Below are 14,190 nucleotides of genomic sequence, written 5' to 3'. Positions count from 1 at the left end.
GGTAAGGAAAAGCTAACTAGAACACTACACAGCTAAAACAAGATGGGTCCCCAAATAGTAGGACTATTTGATTGTATAATGAAATGAACAGGCCACAGTAAAATTAAACCAAGAGTTCAGCATGCATAAAATGCATGTGCACTGAGCACATGCACCAGGTGACAATAAGTTTGTTACCAATAAAAAGGAGAATCAGAGCACATCCTCAATAATAGGAAAGAATTTTCACAGTTGTGACCCAACAGTTCTGTACCCCTAAGATAGGCAAATTTGGGTTATGTTGCTAGATATAGCAGTATGAAAGTCAGCAGAAAGGCCTAAAATGGAAGTTGAAAAGAAAAACAAAAACAACAGTCATACAGGAAGCAAAAAAGAGGCAAACAAATCACAAAACAAGACTGGAATAGCTCTATTATTGTGGGTTAATGAAGTCACTGCAATGCAGAGCACATGACTCTTTAGGACTTGATAAGCTATTTGATGTCACCATGAGAATTATTTAAAAGCTGGATATAAATATTTGGGTATAGGAGAATTTTGAGGAAAGTTGACTTTCCTCACTAAAGAGATCCCAGAACTTCTATCTTTTCACAGTCCTCTTTCTGCTTGAACTTCACATTTGACAACTCCAAGTTTCCTATAAGTTTTCTCCTCTAATTCCTGTGATATAACATCACTGTTTTCCTGTTTATTCTTATTTTTAATTCCCTTTCCTCTTCCTAAATTCTACCTAATGCATTCCACAAGCCTCAATTCTTAGACACCATTCTGTACTGTTCACATACTTTTTTCATTAGGTAGAAAATCCTGTCATCTTATAACTATGGATCTAGAACTTTTATCTCCAGTGCTGATCTTTAATCTAAGCTCCCATTCAATAGCTTGGTTTAACAAATATTTGTTGAGTTCTAATTTTGATGTGCCAGAGATTTTGCTGAGTTTGCACCATCGCCTTACAAGATACCACCACATGGAGGTGTCCTAACATCATCACAAACTCCAAAAGCTCCAAACATCTTTTTGTAAGCATAACCGAGTAACCCATTCAGAATGTTTCTTATAAACATCCTTGCTTTTGTTATCATTATAACTATCAATCAGCTTTGCTGAGATAAAAATACAACCATTGCAGTAGGTTGCAAAACAACAAAAGTTTATTTCTTACTCACACTACATGTGAGCTAAGGTTCCCTGTAGCTATGTCCCACATATCTCTTCGTCTCAGCCCTAAGGTTGAAGGAGCAAGCTGGATCTAAGGTATGCCATTCTTTTGCCAGAGGAAAAGACCGAGAACACCTCTTTAAAGCTTCAGTTTGGGTGTGGCATATATCCCATCTGCTCACAACACATAGACAAGCCCCACATCGGTGGGATGAGTATGAATCATCCTTTTTATGAAGAAGGGGAGATGGGATGACTAATTTTGAACAAGAATACAATCCACCCTGGCACATACTGATGTTAATCATCATCTACATTGGTCATAGCAAACATCTTCCAACTTGTATCCCTGTGAATCATTTATCCAGTTGGTAAAAATTTCAGTAGGCCTTTTATGTGTCAGTCACAGGGATATTTTTGAGATATAATTAGACTCATCACTGCTACTCAGGAGCTTCCAATCAAATGAGAGAGATGTAAATAAACAAATGTATCAGTGAGAGAAATGCCTACATGACAAGCATTTAAGAAGACAAAATTAATGTTTTCAGTATTCCCAAATTTTACTTTCTACTAAGATTAGGAAAAGTTGATCTTCAAGTAAAGTCTTGAGGGATACGTAGGAAATAAGACCAATGAGAGGCATGTTAGAGTGAAGAAAAGCATTCCAGGCAGAGGGAACAGCATTTGCCAAAAATCTTTGGGTGATAAGGACACTGCATATTTGGGCAATGGCAAGTGGTTGAATACGACTAAAGCATATTTACATAGGTATAGCAAGAAGTGACATTAGATAAGAAGCAATGGTAAGACCATGGAAGACCTCACATGTCATGTTAAAAAGCAAGGACTTTACATTGTATGCTATGGGAAGGAGGACTACAGGCATGGCAGTAAAATGATGCAGTTTAGTTTGGAATCAAGAGGCTTTTAAGAGGGAAAGTAAAAATGATTTGATGACCAATAGAAGGTGAGATAGGGAACAAGAGGTGGTAGAGAGTCTAGGATGACTGTTTCTCAGGGTTCGATTTCTGGTTGAATTGCAGTACTATTTACCTGAAAAAAAGAAATATAGGACGAGCCAATTTGGGCCACCCGAGGGACATCCAGAGAAGATGTTTAGTATTTAGTATGTGGATCTATATAGATATATATGGATCAGGAGCTGAGAACCCTAGGCACATCATTTAGTCTCCCTGAGTACCAATTTCTTCATCTATAAAACAGATACCACCTGCACATTCTTCTTAACAGAACCATTGCTCATGACATAATGAGACAATGATTGTAAAAACTATTTTTAAGTAAAAAATTCCTTTAAAAATATATTAATATAAAATTATTTTATAAAAGTCACACTGAACTCCTTACCAACCTTCTGTTATTCCCCACTGTCTGCATAATCTAGAGCAACTATCTAATTTTTTCTGTATATGTTATGCTCATTCCTAATTTCAAAATTTCATTCATGTTTTCTTCCCAAGGGTTAGCTGAAGTGTCATTTCCTTGACCTTCAGAGCCTATGTTAACTTCTCACCTGAATACTTATTACTTCTATTTGTGTGTGTGTGTGTGTGTGTGTGTGTGTGTGTGTGTTTTGATGGGCAAAGTCTCCTTTAAATTGAATTTCTTTTTAAATTAATTTATTTAATAGATAATACATGCACATTGTTTAAAATTCAAACACTACAAATGAGTTGACATTGAAGTCTCTCTCCCATGCCTGTCCCTCAACTACTCAGTTCTCTTCCCCCCAGGCAGTAATATCATCAGGTTTTTCATGTGTGATCTTTCCAGAGATCCTTCCAGAGTCAAGAAAATTAAATCAGTGGTTTTCAAATCATGCCCTCGTGGCTCAGGCGACAATAGAAAACACAGGGAAAGAAATGAAGCAGTTGCATTTGTCTAGCTTCCAAAATAGTTGCACTGCCTATATTTTATGTGGGTCTATTTTGCATACTATAAGGGAATACTGAGACAGACTAATTCATTTATTTATTATTATTTATTATTATTATGATTTTTTGAGATAGAGTCTCGCTCTGTCGCCCAGGCTGGAGTGCAGTGGTGAGATCTTGGCTCACTGCAAGCTCCACCTCCCGGGTTCACGCCATTCTCCTGCCTCAGCCTCCCGAGTAGCTAGGACTACAGGCACCTGCCACCACGCCCTGCTAATTTTTTGTGTTCTTAGTAGAGACGGGCTATCACCATGTTAACCAGGATGGTCTTGATCTCCTGACCTCGTGATCTGCCCGCCTTGACCTCCCAAAGTCCTGGGATTACAGGTGTGAGCCTCCACACCCGGCCCCAGACTGACTAATTTATAAAGAAAAGAGGTCAATTTGGCTCATCTGTATGTGGTATCAGCATCTGCTCCGCTTCTAGTGAGGCCTCAGGAAGCTTTTACTCATGGTGGAAGGTAAAGGGAGAGCAGGCATGTCACATGGCAAGAGAGGGAGCCGTTCAAGCTGCCAGACTCCTTTAAACAATCAGCTCTCATATGAATTAACACGAGAACTCACTCATTACTGTGGGGAGGGGACCAAGTCTTTCATGAGGGATCCTCCCCCATGACCCAAACACCTCCAACCAGGCCCCACCTCCAACACTGGGTTATATTTCAACATGAGATTTAGAGGGGACTGATATGGTTTGGCTGTGTCCCCACCCAAATCTCATGTTGAATTGTAATAATCCCCATGTGTCAAGGGTGGGGCCAGACAGAGATAATTGAATCATGGGGGCAGTTTTCCTCATACTGTCCTCATAGATAGGGAACAAGTCTCACAAGATCTGATGGTTTTATAGGGGGCTTTTCCTCCTTTTGCTCATTCTCTCTTGCTTGCCACCATGTAAGACATACCTTTCACCTTCCGCCATGATTGTGAGGCCTCTCCAACCATGTGGAACTGTGAGTCCATTAAACTTTTTCTTTATAAATGACCCAGTCTCAGGTATGTTTTTATCAGCAGCATGAAAACAGACTAATACAGGGACAAACATTCAAACTATATCATATCTCTTTTACATACAGGACTAAGAATTTTGCTAAAATTTTAGTTAGAGGAGGTTCTATTACTAAAGTTTTAAAATGACTGTTCTACACCATTCATTTTATAACTTAATCATATACTGTATGACATTGTTATTATTGTATATAACTGTAAGATCAAAAAAATTATGCAGCAGAAATTAAGAAAATGATGATTTAAGCAAACTTAATTTAGGACTAAGTGTGTGACAGTGCAGAGGTTCAAACAGTATCCTCAACTCATGTCCCACTGCCCAACCCAGGAAAACAGCAGATCATTTCATGCACTCTTGCTTCAGAAGATTTACATGTGATTGTCCATTCCTGGCTTTGTTTTTCTAAAACCTAAGCTCCGAGGCAATATGTTGGTGGAAGGTGGGCAGAGCAGTGTGAGGTGTAAAAGAAGTGGTGTGGGCATAGGATGAAAAGAGAGGAGCAAAGATTCCACATGCCTAAGAAAGAACTGAACATTAGCCTTCTGAAAGGAAGCAATGCAGCATTTGGCATTCCTATGGCTTCTGGGAGGTGGCTAAAACTCTAGGGGTAAGCTTCATGACAGCTGTGGAGAAGATGGGCCTCTAAGTGCTAAGGATATCAGCTCTGGTAAAAATTCCCATTCCCTTAATGTGGCTCAGCAGCCATAGAGTCCTCTAAGGATTAATTTGGAAGGTTCAAACACATCATCTTAGACAATGGACATCTTTTGAATGAAGGCTCCATGAAGGCAGGAATCTCTGATACACTGGCACTAGTTAAGTCCCACAGGAACTCCGTGTAAAGGAGAAAAATCCCCAATAAGGGCTGAGATTGAATTGCCTACCAGCTCAATATATAAGGATTTTGAAATCAGGTCAAACTGAGTTTGAACTCTTCTCCACATAACAGTAATAGTAATAACAGCAATAGCAGTGTGTCCTTGAGGAAGTAAGCTAAGCATCAGAATCTTCATCTATAAAATAGTGATAATATTCATAGGGTTGGTGTAATACTTTCCATAGTTGGTGCACACATGAAGAATGTAAAATGCTTAATGCAATGTTCCACTTTCACTAGGCAATCAAGAAATGGGAGCTATTTTAATCTTATTTCATAATTATTTATTAAGATTCCACTATGATTCTGTTTCATGCCTTATGTTAGGCAGTGTGTACACAATGGCAAAAATAAATAAATACATACATACATACATACATACATACATACATATATCAGACCTATTCCCAAGGAGCTTAGAGCTTACCAGATTTAAAAACCATCATGAACCAATCTAAACGAGGAAAAGCTTCATATTTTGATTTTGTTTTCAAAATAAGCAAAAAAAAATTAGATCCAAATCTGGAGAATCATTTGGTGATTATACTGGGTGATGCCATTTTTGATCAAATCCAGTTGAGATGCTAAAGTAACAAAACAAATATTCTTAGGTGGCTTATTATTTGAACTCTTAAAAGTATTTTTTTAATCAGCAACGCCAGCATCATTAAAATAAATACACATTCCAAGGTGACTACTTTGAATACAGTTATTGAAATGTATGAAATCCTATATGCTTGATTAAAAAGACGTCTCAGCCTGGTGCAGTGACTCATGCCTGTAATCCCAGCATTTTTGGAGGCCAAGGCGGGTGGATCATCTGAGGTCAGGAGTTCGAGACCAGCCTGGCCAACATGGTGAAACCCCATCTCTACTAAAAATACAAAAACTAGCCGGGCGTGGGGGGTGGGGGAGGCACCTGTAATCCCAGCTACTTGGGAGGCTGAGGCAGGAGAATCACTTGAACCCAGGAATGTCTTATATGCATAAGTATACTCTACTGTCTTTGTCCATACCATTGACATACAACCTCAATTCTTATAAATAATGGGACTAAAGGTGCTCATTACTCCACAGAATGTCTTAATTTCTTGGTCGTCCTGGTTAAGTAATATGATTCTATCAAAAATTGGTTTGAAGAAGCTCCTAGTGAGAAAACGAAGGACTATTTGAGCACCAAACCATTTAGTGAGAATAGTTGACCATAACCCACCCATTGAATAAAATAGGAATCCATTACTTCATACTCATATAAATACATGAATAAATAAATAAATGGAAGAGAGGAAAATCTCTTATAGCAAAATGCTGGTAAGTAAATGTAGGAGAAACAATGGAATTAGAAAATCACTGTTGAAGATCTATAGTAATAATTGATTCTGGTAAGAATCGTAATTGGATGCTAAACCTAGCATACAAAAGTTTAATGAGGAAGAAGATGTATACATAGCATTTAAATATCCCCTCATGAGAGACAAATAGTAAGTTGACAGTGTAGAAACCCGAGAGACACTACTTTAATCAAAGTTAACAACATTTATTGGACAAACTGATGACATATGCATCATAATATGATGTATTGAGATGTATTTCTGCTAAAAATGCATAACCAGAATCCAACACTGAAGAAACACTAGCAAGCAAAAATTGAGAAATAATCTGAAAAATAACTAGTCTGTACTCTCCAAAAATATTAGGGTTATGAAAAGTGAAGACAGACTAAAAAATTATTCTAGATTAAAGGTGACTAAACAGACACAACAAACACTAACTACAAAGTGAAATCCTAGTTTGTACCCTGGAAAAGATTTTTTGCTATAAATGACATTACTGGTACAATCAGTAAAATATGAATAGTGTCTATACATTAGCAAATAGTTTTGTACAGATGTCAATTTCCTGATTTTAATATTGTAATAAGATTATGTAGGGCTGGGTGCGGTGGCTCACGCCTATAATCCCAGCACTTTGGGAGGCCAAGGCGGGCATATCACAAGGTCAGGAGATTGAGACCATCTGGCTAACACGGCAAAACCCCATCTCTACTAAAAATACAAAAATTAGCCGGGCGTGGTGGCACGTGCCTGTAGTCCCAGCTACTCGGGAGGCTGAGGCAGGAGAATCGCTTGAACCCGGGAGGCAGAGGTTGCAGTGAGCTGAGCTCGCACCCTTGCACCCTGGGACGACAGAGCGAGACTCTGTCTAAAAAAAAAAAAAAAAAAGATTATGTAAACAATATGCATGCAATATATTGAGAGATAAGGGGGCATAACTTCTGTAACTTTGTGTCAAATGAATAAAATAATGTATATAGAGAAAAATGTATACAGAGAAGAGGAAATAATAATGCAAATTTTTTCACTTGATTAAAAAATGTGAGTGGAGAATATATGGAAGTTCTTTGTACTATTTTTGCAACTTTTCTGTAAATCTGAAATTTTTTCAAAATTTAAAACTTTTTTTAAAGTGGCCTGAATGTAAATGATAGCACAATAAATTTTAAAAATCTTATGCCACCTGGGCACAGTGGCTCATGCCTGTAATCCCTGCATTTCGGGAGGCAGAGGCAGGCAGGAGTTGGAGACCAGCCTGGCCAACAGGGAGAAACCCTGTCTATACCAAAAACACAAGAAAATTAGCCGGGCGTGATGGCAGGTCCCTGTAATTCCAGCTACTTGGGAAGTTGAGGCAGGAGAATCGTTTGAATCAGGGAGGCAGAGGTTGCAGTGAGCCAAGATCACACCAGTGCACTCCAGTCTGGACAACAGAGCAAGACTTTGTCTCCAAAAAAAAAAAAGTAAATAAGAATAAATAAATAAATAAAAATCATATGTCAAAATTGGAAAGAAAGAAGAAAAGGAAGGGAGAAAGAAGGTGGAGAAAGAAAACTTGTGTTTAAAAATAGTATTTAAAAGCCATCAATAGGAATTTCACATACAAAAGAAGCACTGATATTTGATTACATTTTTTCCATACCTGTGAGACAAATGGACCCAAATGTGAAATAAAAATTCTGTATTAAAATGGTATAAATTAAGTTTGGATAGAATATGGAATATATACTGTAGCCAATGGAATTCTTTGGTTTTATATGTCTTTAAATAGAAAATATGGGTTTTTCGTATGTATACCAGATAAAAGGTTATTACCAAAATCCCTGGCATTCAAATTGAAAAAGTAAAAGAAGAAAAATCAAATCTCCTCTTCACTGTTTAAGAATATGACATTATGCCCAGGAAGCATCTACAACACTTCCTTCTATCTGACTTCTGCTTCCATTGGCTCACTGTCCAATGTCAGCCATTGTCAAAGATTCTTAAAACGATTGTTTCTACAACCACACTCATTTGTTTCCAGAAGAGCATCTTATGAAGATCATGAAGATGTAACTCTTCAACAATATAGAAGAGTATATATTTAACTATATTAATTTTAGTATATAAGCACAGAGACATAGACAATATGAAGGAAATACAAATTATCCTGATCACCTTTAATATTCTAAAATATCAAGTTGTAGATTCTAGGGTTATGAGTTGAATAGCAGTTTAGATGGATTGATGGTGAATCCAATATCTACACTTAAACCCTGAAAGTCTCTTTTCCCTCTTCAATTTTCTTTCCTATTTATTATAAGTACAGATTTAAAGACATCTGTCTTTGTGTTTCTTTGCTTTCCTCCTAATTTCTATTGTCACTAATTCTAAGAAAGACAAGCTTCAAAATGTAAGAGGTTTCCTGAGTCACTGTATAAAAATTGTATGCCTATGTATCTATCTATCCACACACTACACTCACTCACATATAATAAAATTATCATGTGATTATGCATAAGTGAGAGAAATGTAAAATGGAGCTAATCTGATCTGAAAATCACTCACTCATATTACTCTAAGCAAACTGCCTCGATAGTTTTTGAATAATACTAACAACAGCATCACAAATGAAAAACTACCATTTTTGAGCACCGACTAGGTGCCAATCACAGTTCTGGGTATTTTACGTACAGTGTTTCACTTAATTTTCACAAAAATCTCCCACACATTCTTATCCTCATTTTAAAGACAAGGGACATAAGCAAGGTCCACACAGGTTAAATAACTTGCCCACAGTCATCAAACTTCCGTCATCAGGTCTAAAGCCTGTCCTCTTTCTACAGTTCAATGAGAGTCAAAAGGTAGGTAGAAGACTCAGAGATATTGCATATTTAATGCTTACCACAGTGTCTGGCACCTAGGATATATTCTGTAACTATTAGTTACATCTTCTTCCCAATTTTTCCTTTCCAAAATGTTAAGCAGAAACAGAAATAGAGGCATTTGATTTCAGAGTAATTCAAAGAGTTACTTTTTTAAAATGATGTTTTTAACCAAAATCAAGACAGGAGAAGGGAAAAAAAAAAGTTTGGCCGGGCGTGGTGGCTCACACCTGTAATCCCAGCACTTTGGGAGGCCGAGGCAGGCAGATCATCTGAGGTCAGGAGTTTGAGACCAGCTTGGCCAACATGGTGAAACCCTGTCTCTACTAAAAACACAAAAAAATTAGCCAGGTGTGGTGGCTGGAGCCTGTAATCCCAGCTACTCAGAAAGCTAAGGCAGGAGAATCGCTTGAACCCAGGAGGCAGAGGTTGCGGTGAGACGAAATCGTGCCATTGCACTCCAGCCTGGGGAAGAGAGTGAGACTCCATCTCGGAAAAACAAAAAGACATACTATACTCAGACTGGTGACCAATCAGTATCAATTTTTGTCTTCTACCAGTAAAGGGAGCACAGCATAGTAGAAACAGAAACGTTGTTCATTCTTCTATTCATCTATATAAGTGCTAACTATTTAATATATGCCAGGCACCATGCTTTGAGAGTGCAACACTAATGAGACATAGTCTCTGTCCTTATGGAGATTAGGCAGAGGATCTTGGCAATTACGAGACAACTGTGCCCAATGTAAAAACTTCTATAACAACTGTAAGGTTGCTTTGTATATTAAATGTACCACTATGTGTTCATGGACAAGTGGATGAGACTGAGTTTCCTAGCCTGCCAAATGAGTACGACGGTTACTTTTAATAAGCATCCTAACATACAAATTAAATAATTACACAACATGCCTGGTATATAGCAGGTGTTTAATAAATAATAGCTAGTATAAAAGCACCATGTAATCTTTGTTGCTTTCCAATAATAATTAATCATGCGATATAACCACAAATATATTTAACTTTCCATAAAAAACCATTCTGGAATGATATATCATTTATTAAATTATTTAAACCTTATTTATACCTATGAAACAAAATTTATCAGAAAGTCCTGAAGAGAAGACAAAAGAAGCCTTATTCTTTGCTTTGATCAGTTTAGCGTCCTTATGAGGATATTTTTTGACTGTGTTCTGGGCAAGGCATTAGCCTAAAATGTTGGTGATCCAAAAAGGAAGTGGGCTGCAGTGCCCACTCTCAAAAAGCTCACCATCTACAAAGTACAGATAACCATCAATAAATAAGTATAAATGCATACTGTGAAAAGTACTTCAAGCAAAAATAATATCAGTGTAGTTTGGGTACCAAAAAATGGGTCAATTCTCCATGGAAATATCAGAAAATGCTTTCAAGAATAGGTCTCATACTAAAAATTAAGCCCAATTTTGTCCTTACATAAATACTCATCATCAGTAATTTCCAAACTATATGGAAATATGACTAAAGTGAGTAAGTTACAGCATATTGTACAATTCAAATGCTAACATATGTACATTTTATATTTACCTGCACAGTTAGTTGATATTGCTTTCTGCCTAAGAAACTTCTCCACCATTTTTGAATAATTGTTACAATCCTGTTTAAATGCCTAGGATAAAAAAAATATGCTTATTAGTATCCTTTCATTGAAACAAGGTCAGTTAAATCTTTGTTAAAATACTCTCCTACAATTCAAGAATTCAAATTCAAAGCCAAGTTTATGTGCACTTTTAAACAGTAGAAAGTTATTGTGGGATAGAATTAATCATTTCTAGAAGTGGAAGAAAACGGCATTGGTAACTATTTGTTATTTCTTTGGGGCTTATTATTACACAATACTTAATTTCAATTCTTCTTCAATACTTACTCTTTAACATATTTTTGAATGTTAAGACTATAAAACAGGTCACAGTGACATGTTGAGAAATAATCCAGGCACTATTGATGTAAATCATTATTAGCAATTAGAAATAATTCATGAGGGCCGGGCGCAGTGGCTCATGCCCGTAATCCCAGCACTTTGGGAGGCCAAGGCGGTTGGATCACCTGAGCTTAGGAGTTTGAGACCAGCCTGGCCAACACGGTGAAACCGCCCCTGTCTCTACTAAAAATACAAAAATTAGCCAGGTGTGGTGGCGGTGCGCGCCTGTAGTCCTGGCTATTCTGGAGGCTGAGGCAGGAGAATCACTTGAACCAGGGAGGCAGAGGTTGCAGTGAGCCGAGATCGCGCCACTGCACTCCAACCTGGGTGACAGAGCAAGACTCTGTCTCAAAAAAAAGAGAGAGAAAGAGAGAAAGAGAGAGAGAGAAAGAATTCATGAGGTTAAGAAATAGTTCTCCTCTTCATTCTTTTCCTGTAATCCTCAGTCTATCCAAGCCAACATCATGTTAGTCTGCTGAATTCAAAAATACTCTATTTGCCACCATGTTCCTTAGTTTATATAGTGGCCAAAAGAGAAGTCTTGTCTTCCAGGCGCCGTGGCTCATGCCTGTTATCCCGGCACTTTGGGAAGCCAAGGCGGGCGGATCACCTGAGGTCGGGAGTTCGAGACCAGCCTGACCAACATGGAGAAACCCCGCCTCTACTAAATATACAAAATTATCCAGGCATGGTGGCACATGCCTGTAATCCCAGCTACCCGAGAGGCTGAGGCAGGAGAATCGCTTGAATCTGGGAGGCGGAGGTTGCGGTGAACCGAAATGGTGCCATTGCACTGCAGCCTGGACAACAAGAGCAAAACTCCGTTTCAGAAAAAAAAAAAAAAAAAAAAGAGAGAAGCCTTGTCTTCACACTTTAAGTTTGCATGTCTAGCTCTTACTAGACAGTATAAGGAAGTTTTATATAGGATAATTCCAGGCCTGATGAGTTATTATGGAGTAGGCATATTTTCCTCTACCTTATCCAGGAAAATATTTTTTAAGAATTGATGGGACACTGAGGGAAAGTTTGGGCACTGAAAAAAAAAAAAAAAGTGAGAAAGAGTTAAGATAGGGACAAATTTCTGTCTCTTTTTATAGTCAGAATGACATCATCCATGCGTCATTTTATTTTATCTACCAACATGGTGGAAAAGATTGAAACTGTTTTCTCTTTTTCCCCCTTTCTTACCAGTCAATGAATTTATTGCTATAAATACAAACCCAGTCATTTGTAGATCCTTTGGAATTTGGGAAAAGGAATCTGAGCAAATGTGTTTGTAATATTGAGAATTTTATTTTATTTTTTTGAGGCAGAGTCTCACTCTGTTGCCCAGGCTGGAACGCAGTGGCACCTTCTCAGCTCACTGCAAACTTCGCCTTCCGGGTTCAAGGGATTCTCCTGCCTGGACCTCCTAAGTACCTGGGATTACAGATGTGCACCACCATGCCCGGCTAATTTTTGTATTTTTAGTAGAGACTGGGTTTCACCTTGTTGGCCAGGCTGATCTCAAACTCCTGACCTCAAGTGATCCATCTGCCTCAGCCTCCCAAAGTGCTGGGATTACAGGAGTGAGCCACTGCGCCCAGCCAATATTGAGAATTTTAAAAAGCAATACAGTCCATATAATTTAGTTTTGGTAAGAAAAGATCAGAAATACTATGTATTTCTTTTAAAAGAAATACATACAATTTATCAACTACATTATGAGTAAAATAAAAAATTATTTGAAATGAGTACTTCATGAATAAATTACATTTTCTAAGGAATATATTTTTATGATATATCTGAGGTTTCCATGACAAAAGCAATATACCTGATATATGCCCGAACTTGACATCCTCGAAACCAGCTTTGGATTTTAACTGCTGCATCATTCTCCTTTTTTCTAAATGGATCTACAACACTAAAACAAAATGTTTAAAAAGCACTTCATTAGTAACTAATATAATTCTAAAGCAAGTCAACCTGTTAAACTTGATTTTTAATTTCTTCCAAGATGATAATTATAAATTCAAATGTCATTTTAAATAACATTAAAGTATAAATAAATAAGGCATTTCAAAAATCATGAGCTATGTTTTGAAAATTAACCTTTCTCTGAGAAGCCATGTGCTTTCAACAGCTTTGCTTTTTTTATTTTGATAATCACCAATTTTACAACTAATTAATTTGCCAGTGATTTTTATTAGGGAGTAAGTAAGAAATGTGTTATTTTGACATTATTTTTAAAACATAATCATTTGAATTTACTGTTTAAATGCTACTACACATGTATCATGCAAGATGAAAATGCTCACATATTTCACTCATTCATCAGTTAAATGAGTTGTCTCTAAGTTAAATGAACCCATCACAGAATGCCTGTTCCATTAATAGCTAGAATTCTCAGAAAGTCTGTTTAATTAAAGGAGGCAAGGGGAGGGCCATAGGGTTTATATAGAGATAAGAAATTCAAGTCAGTGATCCAGATGTGAGACATGTACAATATAGGGAGAATTCACACAAATCAGTAAGACTACATAAAGTGTAGATTAAGTGTAAAATAAACTGTAAAAACCACACAAAACAATATATAAATAGTTGCATTACCTGATAATGAACGGAAGGCACCATGATAAGATTACTATATGATGCAATAAAATCTGCTGGAAATAATTAAGAGTGTAAGACCACTCTAGACAATTAGGAATAGAAGAAAGGAATGATTCCTTATTGTTGTATATTTGTACTGCATGTAACAAACTACAAAAGAGGTTTGAGTAAGGCCCGCTTGGTGACTCATGCCTGTAATCCCAGCACTCTCGGAGGCCAAGGTGGGCGGATCATCTGAGGTCAGGATTTCGAGACTAGCCTGGCCAACGTGGTGAAACTCCGTTTCTACTAAAAATACAAAAATTAGCCAAGCGTGGTGGCGGGCTCCTGTAATCCCAGCTACTCGGGGGCCGAGACAGAAGAATCGCTTGAACCCGGGAGGCAGAGTTTGCAATGAGCTGAGATAGCGCCATTGCACTCCAGCCTGGGCGACAGAGC

At 37.6% G+C, this 14,190-nt stretch overlaps 1 protein-coding gene across 3 annotated transcripts in view, besides 1 other annotated feature; it reads right to left on the bottom strand.

Moving 5' to 3' along the window:
* Nucleotides 1–14,190, bottom strand: part of SPATA17 (spermatogenesis associated 17) — a 240,353-nt gene that overhangs the window by 209,752 nt on the left and 16,411 nt on the right. For all 3 annotated transcript variants that reach the window (NM_001375655.1, NM_138796.4, XM_011509194.4), the window contains exons 2-3: nt 12,974–13,063; nt 10,767–10,848 (exon numbers count right to left, since the gene is read on the bottom strand). In NM_001375655.1, coding sequence (NP_001362584.1) covers nt 10,767–10,848; nt 12,974–13,063 — 172 coding nt within the window. The remainder of the gene's footprint in view (nt 1–10,766; nt 10,849–12,973; nt 13,064–14,190) is intronic.
* Nucleotides 839–2,038: an enhancer, noted in NCBI's record as "P300/CBP strongly-dependent group 1 enhancer chr1:217833249-217834448 (GRCh37/hg19 assembly coordinates)". NCBI's record gives its function as "activates an origin of replication core promoter dependent on BRD2, BRD4, P300/CBP, MED14 and CDK7 cofactors, with strong dependence on P300/CBP, by STARR-seq in HCT116 cells {active_cell/tissue: HCT116}" and the evidence as "EXISTENCE:reporter gene assay evidence [ECO:0000049][PMID:35650434]".

Source organism: Homo sapiens, chromosome 1, assembly GCF_000001405.40.
Source record: "Homo sapiens chromosome 1, GRCh38.p14 Primary Assembly".
Taxonomy (NCBI): Eukaryota; Metazoa; Chordata; class Mammalia; order Primates; family Hominidae; genus Homo; species Homo sapiens.
The sequence above is the reverse complement of the archived record's forward strand: the minus strand, read 5'-3'. Positions and strand labels throughout refer to the sequence as shown.